The sequence below is a fragment of the Homo sapiens genome, chromosome 3, assembly GCF_000001405.40.
Source record: "Homo sapiens chromosome 3, GRCh38.p14 Primary Assembly".
Classification (NCBI taxonomy): Eukaryota; Metazoa; Chordata; class Mammalia; order Primates; family Hominidae; genus Homo; species Homo sapiens.
The window spans coordinates 152,589,224-152,605,312 of record NC_000003.12 but is presented as its reverse complement, the minus strand read 5'-3'; the positions used below and the strand labels follow the sequence as shown (position 1 = coordinate 152,605,312).

The 16,089-nt window shown below is 41.8% G+C and overlaps 4 annotated features.

Annotated features, from left to right (window-relative positions):
• Positions 1,359 to 2,052: an enhancer, noted in NCBI's record as "OCT4-NANOG-H3K27ac hESC enhancer chr3:152321050-152321743 (GRCh37/hg19 assembly coordinates)". NCBI's record gives its function as "activates a minimal SCP1, AML or CMV promoter by ChIP-STARR-seq in primed H9 embryonic stem cells {active_cell/tissue: H9 hESC(primed)}" and the evidence as "EXISTENCE:reporter gene assay evidence [ECO:0000049][PMID:30033119]".
• Positions 2,053 to 2,747: an enhancer, noted in NCBI's record as "OCT4-NANOG-H3K27ac hESC enhancer chr3:152320355-152321049 (GRCh37/hg19 assembly coordinates)". NCBI's record gives its function as "activates a minimal SCP1, AML or CMV promoter by ChIP-STARR-seq in primed H9 embryonic stem cells {active_cell/tissue: H9 hESC(primed)}" and the evidence as "EXISTENCE:reporter gene assay evidence [ECO:0000049][PMID:30033119]".
• Positions 7,807 to 8,477: an enhancer, noted in NCBI's record as "OCT4-NANOG hESC enhancer chr3:152314625-152315295 (GRCh37/hg19 assembly coordinates)". NCBI's record gives its function as "activates a minimal SCP1, AML or CMV promoter by ChIP-STARR-seq in naive H9 embryonic stem cells {active_cell/tissue: H9 hESC(naive)}" and the evidence as "EXISTENCE:reporter gene assay evidence [ECO:0000049][PMID:30033119]".
• Positions 8,841 to 8,940: an enhancer, noted in NCBI's record as "active region_20709". NCBI's record gives its function as "activates an Ori minimal core promoter by ATAC-STARR-seq in GM12878 lymphoblastoid cells {active_cell/tissue: GM12878}" and the evidence as "EXISTENCE:reporter gene assay evidence [ECO:0000049][PMID:35858748]".

Below are 16,089 nucleotides of genomic sequence, written 5' to 3'. Positions count from 1 at the left end.
TTTATTCCAAGAAATAAATTTCCCTAGACCTTACCTAACCACCTCAGCTGTGTTAGAGCAAGGAAAAACAGATCACATTTCTATGTGAAACAGAGATCAAAGAAAAACTCTTTCTTCTTTAATGGCTGGCTTGGTCCAAGGTGAATAATGAATTCTCCCTTCTTTTTAGGTACTCTTTTTGGTCCCATTGAACATTCAAGGGTGTGGGCATCTCTAAAACAGAGTATCTTGCAAATCACAATTTTGGAATAACTACAAGCTTCTCTCTCTCTCTGTCTCTTTCTCTCTCTCTCTCTTTCTCTCTTCCCTCCCCCTTTCTGGCCTTGTCCATTTTTTCTAAGCTAAGTCACTCCCAAATGTCATCCCACAATTTCCCAGAATACAATGGTGAAACCACCTTTGCAAGATTATGACTGAGACAGTGAAAGAGATCTAACCTAACTGACTCCATCTTGCTTCTAACCTTTAAGCTGTCCTTGTTCATTCCTGGGTGTACGCTGAACTAACTTTGGGAGAAACTTAGTTTGTAGTTTATAGTTTAAAACAAAGATGATAACAGCCCTTTACCAAAACAAACCTCCTTCTTGCCTGGGGACTAGACTGCCTTTCTAGTACTAACAAATTAGCCACAAGATTAGAAATGATGGTTTAGGGGTCATGCAGCTAGATGCTACAAGATTCTGATCCTCCCTAAACTGATCCTAAGATCAGTGCTTGAGATATTTTGCAGATCCTGCTCATGATGGATCAGCTGGCACCTTGTGCCCCCCACCCAGGAACTTACTCAGCACAAGAAGACAGCTTCAACTCCCTATGATTTCATCTCTGACCAATCAGCACTCCTGGCTCACTGGCTTCCCCCAACCCACCAGGTTGTCCTTCAAAACTCTGATCCTGGAATTCTCAGGAAGACTGATTTGAGTAATAAAACTCTGGTCTCCTGCACAGCCAGCTCTGTGTGAATTACTCTTTCTCTACTGCAATTCCCCTGTCTTGGTAAGTTGGCTCTGTCCAGGCAGTGGGCAAGGGGAACCCACTGGGCGGTTGCAATGGCAGTAATTCTAATTTCACTTATTTATTCTAAACAACACAGTAAGTTCCTGAGAGTAAACTAACACCCTCAAGTTCTCCAGCATTAATTTCTTTCACCTTTAACCAGATTAATGCCTTCCCTGGATTAGTCAAGGTAGTCATTTCCAAACAAGTAGCAATTTTTTGAAACTTCAAATCAAGAAACAAAAATGACAACAGGAAATAAATTAAAAAATCCAAAGTTTTTAATTTATCCTTAAATTTAGCCCAATGCCTCACATATGGAATAGTTTTTTTGTTGAAAACTCATCTCAGAGTTTCAACCTTTTAATCCACAAAGTGAATCCAGATGATCCAAATCTGATTGCTTTCTGTATGAGTGGCCTATTTCCCATTTTCTTTAAGAATTGATCTCCAAGTTCCAAAAAAAATTCTTAATTATACAGGCTAATCTTGGGGGAAAACAAACCAAATCTAACACAGAAATAAACCAATCTGTTACACCTTCATTAAACTGCTGGCATTTGCCAGCAATTCCACAAATACTGAGCCTTTGATAAATATTAAGAAATTCTTTAAAAACATGATTGTTTTGTAGGAAAGAGTGGGTAGACTGACTCATGGCCACTGTTTATATGCATGTCCAGAGATCCTGTTACGATTGTCCGGGCCGGGTACAGTGGCTCAGGCCTGTAATCCCAGCACTTTGGGAGGCCGAGGTGGGCAGATCACGAGGTCAGGAGATCGAGACCATCCTGGCTAACAGGTGAAACCCTGTCTCTATTGAAAATACAAAAAATTAGCCGGGCATGGTAGTGGGCACCTGTAGTCACAGCTACTCGGGAGGCTGAGGCAGGAGAATGGCGTGAACCTGGGAGGAGGAGCTTGCAGTGAGCCGAGATTGCGCCACTGCACTCCAGCCTGGGCGATAGAGTCAGACTCCGTCTTAAAAAAAAAAAAATAGATTGTCAGGCAACCATACTGAGCTCTATGCAGAAGAAGCAGCTCACATTCGTGTCTGAATGAGAACATCTGTGATGGAGGCAGGAAAAAGCTAATCCATGGGTGCTGCCCAATCTATTGTTGGAGAGGAAGGGAAGGCAGGTGTGACAATAAAGCACCTACTTTCATGCGCATCCGTGTGAAGAGACCACCAAACAGGCTTTGTGTGAGCAATAAAGCTGTTTATTTCACTTGGGTGCAGGCGGGCTGAGTCCGAAAAGAGAGTCAGTGAAGGGAGATATGGGTGGGGCCGTTTTATAGGATTTGGGTAGGTAAAGGAAAATTATAGTCAAAGGGGTTGTTCTCTGGCGGGCAGGAGTTGGGGTCACAAGGTGCTCAGTAGGGGAGCTTTTGAGCCAGGATGAGCCAGGAGAAGGAATTTCACAAGATAATGTCATCAGTTAAGGCAGGAACAGGCCATTTTCACTTCTTTTGTGGTGGAATGTCATCAGTTAAGGCAGGAACTGGCCATCTGGATGTGTACATGCAGATCACAGGGGATATGATGGCTTAGCTTAGGCTCAGAGGCCTGACATTCCTGTCTTCTTATATTAATAAGAAAAATAAAATGAAATAGTGGTAAAGTGTTGGGGTGGTGAAAATTTTTGGTGGTAGTATGGAGAGATAATGGGTGATGTTTCTCAGGGCTGCTTTGAGCGGGATTACAGGCGGCGTGGGAGCCTAGAGTGGGAGGGATTAAGCTGAAGGAAGATTTTGTGGTAAGGGGTGATGTGGGGTTGTTGGAAGAAAGATTTGTCGTGTAGAATTATTAGTGATGGCCTGGATATGGTTTTGTATGGATTGAAAAACTAAACGGAATAAGAGAAGGAGAAATACAGGTATTAAAGGACTAAGAATTGGGAGGACTTAGGACATCTAATTAGAGAGTGCCTAAGAGGATTCAGCATAGTCCTGCCAGCAAAGATTATTTATTTACTTTAAGAGTTAAGAGTGGCAGTTTGGGGATAGCACCAGGAGGTATCAGCTGTGATGGCTTGGAGAAATAGTGTAAACTGGCAGTGTAAACAAGAGCAGGGCGTGTATGAGTAGTTGAGAATGGTGAATAGGAGTATGACTAGACAGAAGATAGTAGGGATGACAAGTTTTTTGGGGTGCAGTCCAAGTTGGTCTGGTGTCTGGAATGAGACTGGGGCCTAATAAAAAGGAGTGTCCATACAGGAGCTCAAATGGGTTGTACCTTGTAGTATTCTGAGGACAGGCCTGACTTCTGAGAAGGGAAAGTGGTAAAAGTATTCTCCAGTACTTTTTAAGTTGGTGGCTGAGCTTGGCGAAGTGTGTTTTTAAAAGACCTTTAGTCCGTTCTACTTTTCCTGAAGACTGAGGACTGTTAGGGATATAAAGGTTTCACTGAATACTAAGAGCCTGAAAAACTGCTTGGCTGATTTGACTAATAAAGGCTGGTCTGTTATCAAACTGTATAGAGGTGGGAAGGCTAAACTGAGGAATTATGTCTGACAGAAGGGAAGAAATGACTGAGAAGGCCTTCTCAGACCCTATAGGAAAGGCCTATATCTATCCAGTGAAAGTGTCTACTTAGATTAAGAGGTATTTTAGTTATCTGACTCGGGCATGTTGAGTAAAGCTAATTTGCCAGTCCTGGGTGGGGGCAAATCCTCGAGCTTGATGTATAGGGAAGGGAGGGGGCCTGAATAATCCCTGAGAAGTAGTAGAATAGCAGGGGGAACACTGAGAAGTTATTTCCTTGAGGATAGATTTCTACAATGGAAAGGAAATGAGAGGTTTTAAGAGGTGGGCTAGTGGCTCGTACTATATCATAGGCTGCCTTTGCTGGTGTGTGGCGATTAGGCCTGGTGGAACTGCCATCAATAAACTAAGTGTGATCAGGGTGAGGAACAGGAAAGAAGGAAACATGGGGAAATGGGATGAACATCAGGTGGATCAGAGAGATGCAGTCATGAGGGTCAGGTGTGGTATCTGAAATAATGTGGGAGGCCAGATTGAAGTCCGGGCCAGGAACAATGGTAATTGTGGGAGACTTAACAAAGAGTGAGTATAGCTGAAGGAGCTGGGGAGCAGAAAGTACATGCATCAGGTGTGAGGAAGAAAATAGATTTTGGAAATTATGAGAGCTGTAGAGAGTGAGTTGAGCATAGTTTGTGATTTTGAGGGCCTCTAAAAGTATTAGGGCGGCAGCAGCTGCTGCATGGAGACATGATGGCCAGCCTAAAACAGTAAGGTCAAGTTGTTTGGACAAAAAGGCTACAGGGTGCAGTCCCGGCTCTTGTGTAAGAATTCTGACCACACTAACCATGCCTAGGAAGGAAAGGAGTTGTTGTTTTGTAGAAGGTGTAGGGGTTTGAGAGATCAGCTGGACATGATCGGCAGGGAGAGCAAGTGTGTTTTTATGAGAATTACGCAGAGATAGGTAACAGATGAGGAAGAAATTTGGGCTTGACTGAAGTAATGGGGGCTGTCTGTGAAGACGTGCGGCAGTACAGCCCAGGTAATTTGCTGAGCTTGATGAGTGTCAGGGTCAGTCCAAGTGAAAGTGAACAGAGGCTGGGATGAAGGGTGCAAAGGAATAGTAAAGAAAGCATGTTTGAGATCTAAAACAGAATAATGGGTTGTGGAGGGAGGTATTGAGGATAGGAGAGTATATGGGTTTGGCACCATGGGGTGGATAGGCAAAACCATTTGGTTGATAAGGCACAGATCTTGAACTAAACTGTAAGGCTTGTCTGGTTCTAGGACAGGTAAAATGGGGGAATTGTAAGGAGAATTTATAGGCTTTAAAAGGCCATGCTGTAGCAGGCGAGTGATAACAGGCTTTAATCCTTTCAAAGCATGCTGTGGGATGGGATCTTGGCATTGAGTGGGGTAAGGGTGATTAGGTTTTAATGAGATGGTAAGGGGTGCGTGATCAGTCGCCAAGGAGGGAGTAGAGGTATCTTATACTTGTGGGTTAAGGTGGGGGATACAAGAGGAGGACGCAAAGGAGGCTTTGGATTGGGAAGAAGGGCGGCAATGAGATGTAGCTGTAGTCCAGGAATAGTCAGGGAAGCAGATAATTTAGTTAAAGCGTCTCGGCCTAATAAGGGAACTGGGCAGGTGGGGATAACTAAAAAGGAGTGCTTAAAAGAGTATTGTCTAAGTTGGCACCAGAGTTGGGGAGTTTTAAGAGGTTTAGAAGCCTAGCCGTCAATACCTACAACAGTTATGGAGGCAAGGGAAATAGGCCTTTGAAAAGAAGGTAATGTGGAGTGGGCAGCCTCTGTATTGATTAAGAAGGGGACGGACTTACCTTCCACTGTGAGAGTTACTTAAAGCTCGGCATCTGTGATGGTCTACGGGGCTTCCGAGGTGACCGGGCGGCGTCAGTCTTCAGCCGCTAAGCCGAGAAGATCTGGGAAGGAGTCAGTCAGAGAGCCTTGGGCCAGAGTTCCAGGGGCTCTGGGAGTGGCTGCCAGGTGAGTTGAACAGTCCAATTTCCAGTGGAGTCCTGCACAGATGGGACATGGCTTAGGAGGAATCTCGGGCTGCGGGCATTCCTTGGCCTGGTGGCCAGATTTTTGGCACTTGTAGCAAGCTCCTGGGGTAGGAGGTTCTGGAGGAACGCCTGGCCGCTGCAGTTCAGGTGGGCTGCGGGCATTCCTTGGCCTGGTGGCCAGATTTTTGGCACTTGTAGCAAGCTCCTGGGGGAGGAGGTTCTGGAGAATGCCTGGCCGCTGCAGTTCAGGCGTTTGGAAGTTCTTGTGTGCTGGAGATATGGCTGGGGTTTGCCTCACAGTGGAGGCAAGGAATTGCAACTTTTTTCTATTATTGTACACCTTGAAGGCAAGGTTAATTAAGTCCTGTTGTGGAGTTTGAGGGCCGGAATTTAATTTTTGGAGTTTTTTCCTAATTTCAGGAGTGGATTGGGTGATAAAATGCATATTAAGAATAAGGCGGCCTTCTGGCCCCTCTGGGTCTAGGGCAGTAAAGTGTCTAAGTGTTGCTGCTAAGCGGGCCATGAACCGGGCTGGGTTTTCGTCTTTACCTTGGGTAGTTTCTTTAAGCTCGTCATAATTAACAGCTTTGTAAGCTGCCTTTTTAAGCCCTTCAACTAGGCAGGAAATCATGTAATCTCGCCTAGCTATACCTGGGGAATTTGCCTGGTAGTTCCATTGGGGATCCTCTCGGGGAACTGCTCTAATGCCTTCCTGGAGGTCTGGCTCATGAAGCCAGCGGTTGTCAGCATGAGATTGGGCTAGAGAAAAAACTCTTTCCCGTTCATCTGGGGAGAGGGTAGAAGTCAGGATGACATTTAAGTCACTCCAGGTTAAATTGTAGGACAGAGTTAGATATCAGAATTCCTGTATGTATTTAGTGGGGTCTGATGAGAAAGAGCCTAAACATTGACTGATCTGAGAGCGGTCTGATAGAGAAAAAGGTACATGTACCTTGACTATGCCTTCAGCTCCAGGCACCTCTCTAAGAGGAAATTGCTGGGCAGGTGGGGAAGAGCTAGTCATGGAACTAAACTGTAAGCCAGACCGGGTGTGAGGAGGGGAGGTGGTAGAAGTATTATAGGTGGAGGAGCGGAGGCTGAGGAAGAATTGGGACTTAGCTCAGCTTGGTGAAGAGCAGCCTGAGGAGGAGGGGAGAGGTCAGATGGGTCTGTAGAAAAGGAAGACTGGAAAGACTCAGCAATGCTTGGGGTTGGGACTGAGGGGACAGGTGGGAGGGAAAAAAGGAGGATTTGGGAGGAATCGAATTGGGAACAGAGACTAGGGAGGGAATGAAGTGTGAAAAATGCCTGGACTTAAGGCACCTCAGACCATTTGCCCATTTTTCGACAAAAATTATTTAGGTCCTGTAGGATGGAGAAATTGAAAGTGCCGTTTTCTGGCCATTTAGAGCCATTGTCAAGTTTGTATTGGGGCCAACCGGTGTTGCAGAAGAAAATAAGGCATTTAGGTTTTAGGTCAGGTGTGAGTTGAAGAGGTTTTAAGTTCTTGAGAACACAGGCTAAGGGAGAAGAAGGAGGAATGAAGGGTGGAAGGTTGCCTATAGTGAAGGAGGCAAGCCCAGAGAAAAGAGAGAGTAGAGACATGGAGGGAAGGGGTTCGGGGGTTCTTACCCTCCAGAAAAGTGGGAAAGGGGTCGGGGCATGGAAATAAGGGGTCAGGGCATGGAGATAAGAGGTTGGGGCACGGAAATAAGGCATTGGGGCACAGTGATAAGGGATTGGGGCACAGAGATAAGAGGTCAGGATGCAGGGATAAGGGATTGGGGGTTCTTGCCCCTTAGAAAAGCGGGACTTGCCACTAAGGGTGAAGGAGAAGGGGTTGAGGAGTTCTTGCCCTTCCCCCATAAAAGCAGAGAAGGGGTAGAGACATGGAGAGAAGGGGTTGGCAAGTCCCCCAGAAAAGCGGGACTTGCCGCTAAGGGTGAAGGACCAAGGCAGGCGTCCCTGCGTGGTCTGACACCTCTGAAACGTGGGTGAATAATCAGAGAAGCATCCCTGCAGTGATTAAACACCAAGGGAAGGCTGCCTTCCTAGTCCGTGACCAGCGCCGGAGTTTTGGGTCCATGGATAAAATGTGTCTCCTTTGTCTCTACCAGAAAATGAAAGGAATTGAAATTAAGAGAAGGGACAGATTGAAGTGTGGCGCCCAGATTGAAAGGAGAAAGAGGTTGAGGGATAGAGGGAGGTTGGAGAAGAGAGTAAAAAGAGGCCGCTTACTGGATTTGAAATTGGTGAGATGTTTCTTGGGCTGGTGGTCTGAGGACCTGAGGTCGTAGGTGGATCTTTCTCATGGAGCAAAGAGCAGGAGGACAGGGGATTGATCTCCCAGGGGAGGTCCCCCGATCCGAGTCATGGCACCAAATTTCATGCACGTCCGTGTGAAGAGACCACCAAACAGGCTTTGTGTGAGCAATAAAGCTGTTCATTTCACCTGGGTGCAGGCGGGCTGAGTCCGAAAAGAGAGTCAGCGAAGGGAGATGGGTTGGGGCCGTTTTATAAGATTTGGGTAGGTAAAGGAAAATTATAGTCAAAGGGGTTGTTCTCTGGTGGGCAGGAGTGGGGGTCACAAGGTGCTCAGTAGGGGAGCTTTTGAGCCAGGATGAGCCAGGAGAAGGAATTTCACAAGATAATGTCATCCATTAAGCCAGGAACAGGCCATTTTCACTTCTTTTGTGGTGGAATGTCATCAGTTAAGGCAGGAACTGGCCATCTGGATGTGTACATGCAGGTTACGGGGGATATGATGGCTTAGCTTAGGCTCAGAGGCCTGACACCTACTGTTCCATATTCAGATGCTGATCTGTTCTTTATATGAAGTTGCTCCCAGGGTGTCAAAGTAAGGGAACCAGCTCCTGTAAAACTCAATCTGCAGATGATTCTCAAACACAAAACCCTTGCAAGTCTTCCTCTGCCAGCTCAGAGACAGTTACAGTTTCAGGAGAGCCATGTAGGATGATTCTTTGGTTTATCAGAAAATAGTTAAGCCATTTGTATTGATAGAGCAGGCATCATGCCAGTTGAAACATTCTTACACAACCCAGCCACTCTGGATGATTTGTACATCTTGGATCCAGGCACAATAAGCAGCTTAACTTGGAGCTGAGAAATGAAAACAAAGGATGTGGTCTCGCTGTGGCTCCCTGACCTCAGGGATCTGTATGGTTTCCATGATTATAAATTATCTAAGAAGAAGTTGAGTTCTAGGTCCAGAGAAATTATTCCGAGCAGCAGGAATATACTGACTAAACTGATGCACCAAAATGTCAGATAGTTCCTCTGGTTTTGTTTCTTTTTAAATGTTGTTGTTGTTAGGGTTATTTTTCCCTCCACAAGTCACTTTTTGGCTTGGCAAAAATGAACTGCAGACTGTAGAATATCAAGGAAGTGAGATCTGAGTCTTCCAGCTGTGTTGCTTTAAAGGATTCAATTAGAGCACAAATGAGCTCCACGCACATATTTGGGCAGTGCAAAGTTCACTCTCAGGGGGTGGGACCTTGCTAAAAGAACTCATTCTGCTTTGGCTGATAAGAAAATGTGCTTCCTGTTTCTCTTCAAGGACAAGAAACTTAAAGTAAAATTTTAGCCAGCATCAGAGAGCTATGACACTTTCACTTCCTAACTTGAGACTTAGGACTTGCTGTTTGAAAAGCTACATTTGAGAGAAAGAGCTCGAATCTTTGGCTTCTTCCATCTTGCTATGAAGAAAAGGAAAGAGATTTGTGGTCTCCATTCTCTCCCTGACACCAGACTAAAAGATTCCTTGGAATAATCAGAACTGAGAAATATATTATACTTTATTCACTTAACCCTAGATCAATTATATTACCTCTTTTCTTTCTTTCTTTCTTTCTTTCTTTCTTTCTTTCTTTCTTTCTTTCTTTCTTTCTCTCTCTTTCTTTCTTCTTTCTCTTAGTATTTTTTAAATAATTTATTATTATTATTATAATTTGAAACAGGGTCTCACTTTGTCACCCAGGCTGGAGTGCAGTGCCATAAGCCTAGCTCACTGTACCCTCAACCCTCTGGGATCAAGCAATCCTCCCACCTCCACCTCAGCCTCCTGAGTAGATGAGTAGCTGGGACTACACATGTGTGCCACCACACCCAGCTAATTTGTAAAAATTTTGTAGAGACAGGGTCACACTGTGTTGCTCAAGCTGGTCTCAAACTCCTGGAATCAAGCAATCCCCCCACCTCAGCCTCCCAAAGTGCTGGAATTACAAACATAAGCCACTGTACCTGGTCTGTGTTACCATTTTCATAGTAAAATATTTTTACCACAAAGCTAATTTATCACTAAATATACTCTGTTCTCTTATAATGAACATGTGTCATTCTTTTTGTATGCCCAGCATACATCTTGCTTTTTTTGTGTAAGGAATTTTCTACCTTATGAGTGTGGGTGGGAAACAGTGACCTCTTCTTGTAAATTTGTTTGAGTTCATTGTAGATTCTGGATATTAGCCCTTTGTCAGATGAGTAGGTTGCGAAAATTTTCTCCCATGTTGTAGGTTGCCTGTTCACTCTGATGGTAGTTTCTTTTGCTGTGCAGAAGCTCTTTAGTTTAATTAGATCCCATTTGTCAATTTTGTCTTTTGTTGCCATTGCTTTTGGTGTTTTGGACATGAAGTCCTTGCCCACGCCTATGTCCTGAATGGTAATGCCTAGGTTTTCTTCTAGGGTTTTTATGGTTTTAGGTTTAACGTTTAAATCTTTAATCCATCTTGAATTGATTTTTGTATAAGGTGTAAGGAAGGGATCCAGTTTCAGCTTTCTACATATGGCTAGCCAGTTTTCCCAGCACCATTTATTAAATAGGGAATCCTTTCCCCATTGCTTGTTTTTCTCAGGTTTGTCAAAGATCAGATAGTTGTAGATATGCGGCATTATTTCTGAGGGCTCTGTTCTGTTCCATTGATCTATATCTCTGTTTTGGTACCAGTACCATGCTGTTTGGGAAAAAAACAAACAACCCCATCAAAAAGTGGGCGAAGGACATGAACAGACACTTCTCAAAAGAAGACATTTATGCAGCCAAAAAACACATGAAGAAATGCTCATCATCACTGGCCATCAGAGAAATGCAAATCAAAACCACTATGAGATATCATCTCACACCAGTTAGAATGGCAATCATTAAAAAGTCAGGAAACAACAGGTGCTGGAGAGGATGCGGAGAAATAGGAACACTTTTACACTGTTGGTGGGACTGTAAACTAGTTCAACCATTGTGGAAGTCAGTGTGGCGATTCCTCAGGGATCTAGAACTAGAAATACCATTTGACCCAGCCATCCCATTACTGGGTATATACCCAAATGAGTATAAATCATGCTGCTATAAAGACACATGCACACGTATGTTTATTGCGGCACTATTCACAATAGCAAAGACTTGGAACCAACCCAAATGTCCAACAATGATAGACTGGATGAAGAAAATGTGGCACATATACACCATGGAATACTATGCAGCCATAAAAAATGATGAGTTCATATCCTTTGTAGGGACATGGATGAAATTGGAAACCATCATTCTCAGTAAACTATTGCAAGAACAAAAAACCAAACACCGCATATTCTCACTCATAGGTGGGAATTGAACAATGAGATCACATGGACACAGGAAGGGGAATATCACACTCTGGGGACTGTGGTGGGGTCGGGGGAGGGGGGAGGGATAGCATTGGGAGATATACCTAATGCTAGATGACACATTAGTGGGTGCAGCGCACCAGCATGGCACATGTATACATATGTAACTAACCTGCACAATGTGCACATGTACCCTAAAACTTAGAGTATAATAAAAAAAAAAAAAAAAAAAAAAAAAAAAAAAAAAAAACAGTGACCTCTTTCCATAAAAAGTCTAGGAAAATTGCTTGAAGAGAGGACACAGGCATGTGTCTTTGGTTTTGCCAATTAGATGCTCTCTTGGAGGATGTGGATTTGAGAACTGATGATGCAAAGACCTATCCTTTGGGTTAGGGTGGCAAGAGCTCTAGTCAGCATCTGGCACTATGAGTATCTGCAGTATAAGCCTCAAAATCTGTGCCTGGAAACAGTGACATCAGTGTCTCTATAAGACCAGCCCTACTAGGCTTTATGTTGGGCAATACAAAGTTGGACTTGGTTCTTGGTGAAAGTCTCCAAGCCAATTATCTGGCCCACTTGGGAATAAATGATAATTCTGCTTAAATAAACCAAATTTCTGTTGCTTGCAACAAAAACCCTGACTGATTCACTCTGTCAGCTTAATTTCCTTCCCTGGCTTCTCTTTTCCCCTCTTCCTTTCCCTTCTTTCCTCTTCCTGCTTCTTTTTCCTTTCCTCCCTCTTCCTTCTCCCCCTTTTCCTTTCCTATTTCCCTTTGCTTTCTTCCTCCTCCTCCTCTTCCTCTTCTTTCACTCTCTTCTCCTCCTTCTCCCCATCTCTCTCCTTCCCTCCTCATTCTTTTTTTCTCCTTCTAATCCTTGTCTTAGTTCTTCTCTCTCCATTCTCCTTACTTTCACTCTCTCCTCCACATTATTTTAGTTCTATTTTCAAGTATTGACACTCCTACCCTGAAAGAAATAAAAAACTCTAAACTTCCATTTTGTAGTTGATGAAACTGAGACCTAACATGTTTAAACAAATTATTCCAAATGGCCAGAATTCAAGGTGCCTTCCTCTTAATTTAATGTTCTTAGCACCATGCCATCATGCTACCTAAACAGTATATTTGATATGTTCCCTGAAGATGAATGAGCTGTTGATTCAATGCTATATATGTAAGGGAATAATTTACTAATAACATTTAGTAAAAGGACGTTTATAAAATATTACACATTCCATATTCTTCCACTGCCTTGGCATAGAGAATAAGTAGATGAGTGTGTATTTGTGTCCAGTCCATGTTTATTTGACTTATGTGGTTATGTGATCATGTGAAAAAAAATTGGAGTGGAGACCTGGGAAATCACCTCTGTTGGTCCAGTAAACTAACAGTAATCATCATCAGTATTAGTTATTATTAACAGGGAAAAATCAGTTGAGATTTTGCATAAAATATAACAGTGCTCTTTCAAAAGATACATCACATCTTGCCTTTCTTTAGCGTAAAATCACTTCATGGCTTCCCACTGCACTTGGAATAGGATCCAAAGTCTGAGTAGAGTGACAGTATCATTTCTACTCCCCTCTAGGACATGTGTGAGATAAAAGGAGCCCTATTAGTCAAGAAGAGGACAACAGGTACAAACTGAGACTGAACCTTACAAGGAAACCGAGATGCATGATTACTCCTTGCACATAGCCTTGACTTTCTCTCTAATCTCATATAGTACCACTCATCTCCCAGCTCAGTTTGCTTCCAGCATGCTGTTTTTCTTTTCTTCTTTTTTATCCTTGAATATCCTAAGCTGGTTTTCTTCTCAAAGGTTTTGCATTTGCTGTGCCCTCTGCCTGGAACACTCTCTCCCTATCTGTTCACATGGCTGCCTCTATATCATTTTGGACTCAGCTCAAATGTAGTTTCTCAAGAGAGGCCTCTTTAGACTAATCTAATAATATTCATTCTTCCACCCCACACCTCCTTCTGTTTATCCTTTATTTGAAATAGTTGTTTACAAGTTGGTTTAATTTCCAGATATCTAAATATGAGCCCATAAAGGCAAGGACCTTGTCTCTCAAGTCCACTTCTTTGTCTGTAGTGCCTAGACAGTGACTGGCACACAGAGGTATATGTATTTGTTAAGTGAATGAATGTATAAAAGTAGAATTGGAAAAGAACATTTTACTATTTAACTAATAATGATTGCAGTTATGCAGTCAAAGACATGTTAACATTTTAACATTCCTACACATGCATATACAACATAGCAAGAACACAATTCCTGTGAGAGCACCTTCATATTTCCAATTACTGCATTCATTTTAATTGTCCAAAGGTACCAACCTATTTCAGAGAGTCTCGTGCACTGCATAGAAGATGAGATGAGATGATGGCTTATAAATGGAATCAGAACTTTAGCATCAGAATTAGAGGATAGAGGGCTTAAATGTGGCTGTTTGTGGTAGGTTGGTAGTGTTCCAGGAAGGCTGATAGCATGGTCTTATGTTCCCTTCAGTCATCTAAAATGCTTTTATTTGCTCATGTCCTTCTCTTATCACTTATGTCACATTTCTCTGCTTGTTTGCCTGCCTCCCGTTAGACTGTAATCACCAAAAAGGCAGAGCAAGATGTTTTTTCTTTCTAATATTTGTTACTCCCCAACCCTGACTCCCACCCCCATGGTACCTTGATCACTTGGAGCTTATTAATGTTTGTTAAACAAAATTGAATTAAATTATATAAAATAGATCAATATAAAATTTTCAGAAATGATTAACCACACATTTTAGGAACAACGTCAATGATATACAAAGCAAGCATGTGGCAATATAAATGTTGCTGATTTAATAACTTTTTGCATTATAAAATTTGAGATGCTTCAGTATCAGTTTGGGCTAAGAGCCCTTTTTAACCTGTCTCCAGTCTGCAGGTGATTTCTAGTCTCCGAGGTCTTCTTACGTCCTACAGGCTAGTGTGTGGGCAGCACCCAGGTGCCACAGGGATGTCAATTACCTGCAGTGGGCCTCAATCTAACACCATGACCCTCCCTGGGGGTTCCGAGTTTTTAGAATAGGCTGGGATCAGGAACCAGCCCACCTCGTTTCCATATTTGTACTTCACATTTCAGACTATTTCTTACCAACATTTTCAAACACTCCCTAAAGTAGGAAATATGGTTCATTGAATCCATATGCCTCCTCAACCAGCTTCATCCACTATTCATTTTCTGCTGTTTCTTCCTTCATCTCTTTTTGTGCCTACCAAACTTTTATTTTTTCAGATAATTTTGAATTCCAGTTAGCATATTATTTTACTAATAGATTATTTGATATGTATATCTCATCAGCAATGCTTGTTAGCATGACTATGGCACTCTTATCACATCTAATAAAATTAATAAATAATTTATTAATATCGAATAAATAGGCTGATTCAACTTTCTTCAATTATCACAAATGTATTTTTATAACTGGTCTGTTAGAATCAGAAAACAAATAATACCAAATATTGCTTTTCATTGATATGTCTCTTAAGTTTCTTGCGATCTATAACACTTTCCCCTCCTTTTTGTGCCATTTGTTTGCTGAGGAAACTGAGTCATTTGTCTCATAATTTCTCACATTCTGGATTAGGCTGACCATAATCTTCATGGTGCTTTCAACATGCTTCTTTATCTTCCATACTTTCTTAAAATTCATAGTTAATGATTCAGAAACTTTTGGGGGGGAGTGGCTGTTGGTAGTATATACTTTCCATTATATCACATCAAGATGAATATAATGCCTGGACATTACACTTTCAGTAATGTTTAGATTGATGACAGGATTCAGGTGTCACCAGTCTCACATATGTTCTACAAATACCTCCCCACTAATTGTTCACCTAATGGTTACAGCCACCATCAGTGATAATTGCCCAAATCTGTTACTTCATTAAAATTTTCAAAATGGGATTTTTTTCAAGCCTATTATTATCCTTCTTTCATCAAGGAGAACTTTTTTTCGTCAACTATCTGGTTGCCTTAAAATCTGGTTCTTGCAGGAAAGGCAGGATATATGCTTGAGTCTCTTTCCTTAACTATAAATTTCCAGGGTAATTTTTGTTGGTATTTTAACAAGCTCCAAAAGTGACCACTGAGTTTTTATTTTAAATACCATCATAAAGTCTTCGATTTTTAAATGTTTTTATTTAACATGTTTAATTCATTGCAATTATTTTTCTTTTTTGATACTTAAGTTCTCCCAACTTTGGCCAAGGGAGGCCCTTCAAGTTTGTTTCTGTCTTTTGACACCATGCAGTTTCCTTTGATAGTTTTGCTTTCAGGCACAACAATATGTTCCAAATTCATCTTGTCTACTTCCTGTTCCAGACCTGGAATCAGCGGTTTTTTTTTTTAAGGAGTCTTGGTTCCTTTTAATGGGAAATATTTTTTTTAAAAAACCACAGCCTGGGCACCAGGAGTATTCATTATTTCCTGGTTTTCATTGCTTCTAGGTTTTTTAGTGGAACAAGTAAGAAAATAGTGAATATAGTTTTTTAGAAAAATAAACATGATTCCTAAGTTCATGCTATTATTTTCACCAATTGCAATGAAAGATATCAGTGTTTTTATGTTCTTAGTTTTTATATTTATATCTCTTTACCTTTCTTCTGAACATATCTTAACTCATGAAAATATTAACATAATTCTTTATTTTATGTCTATACACACAATAGTTTCAAAATAATAATAGCAGTATTTTCAGTAATAACCTACTGAATATATATTAATATTTCTTTGTGGTTTTCTTTTTTATCCTTAGAATGTGTGATCAAAATATTATTAATTAAAGCCGATTAAATTGAATCTCCTCCATGTCATTGTCACCTACATGATATATAGTTTGGTTCACTTGTTTCAGGTTTTGAAAATTATTATTTTTTGATACAACTTTTTAAGTTGTGTTATATATAAGCATGGTTTCAAAATGAAAACAT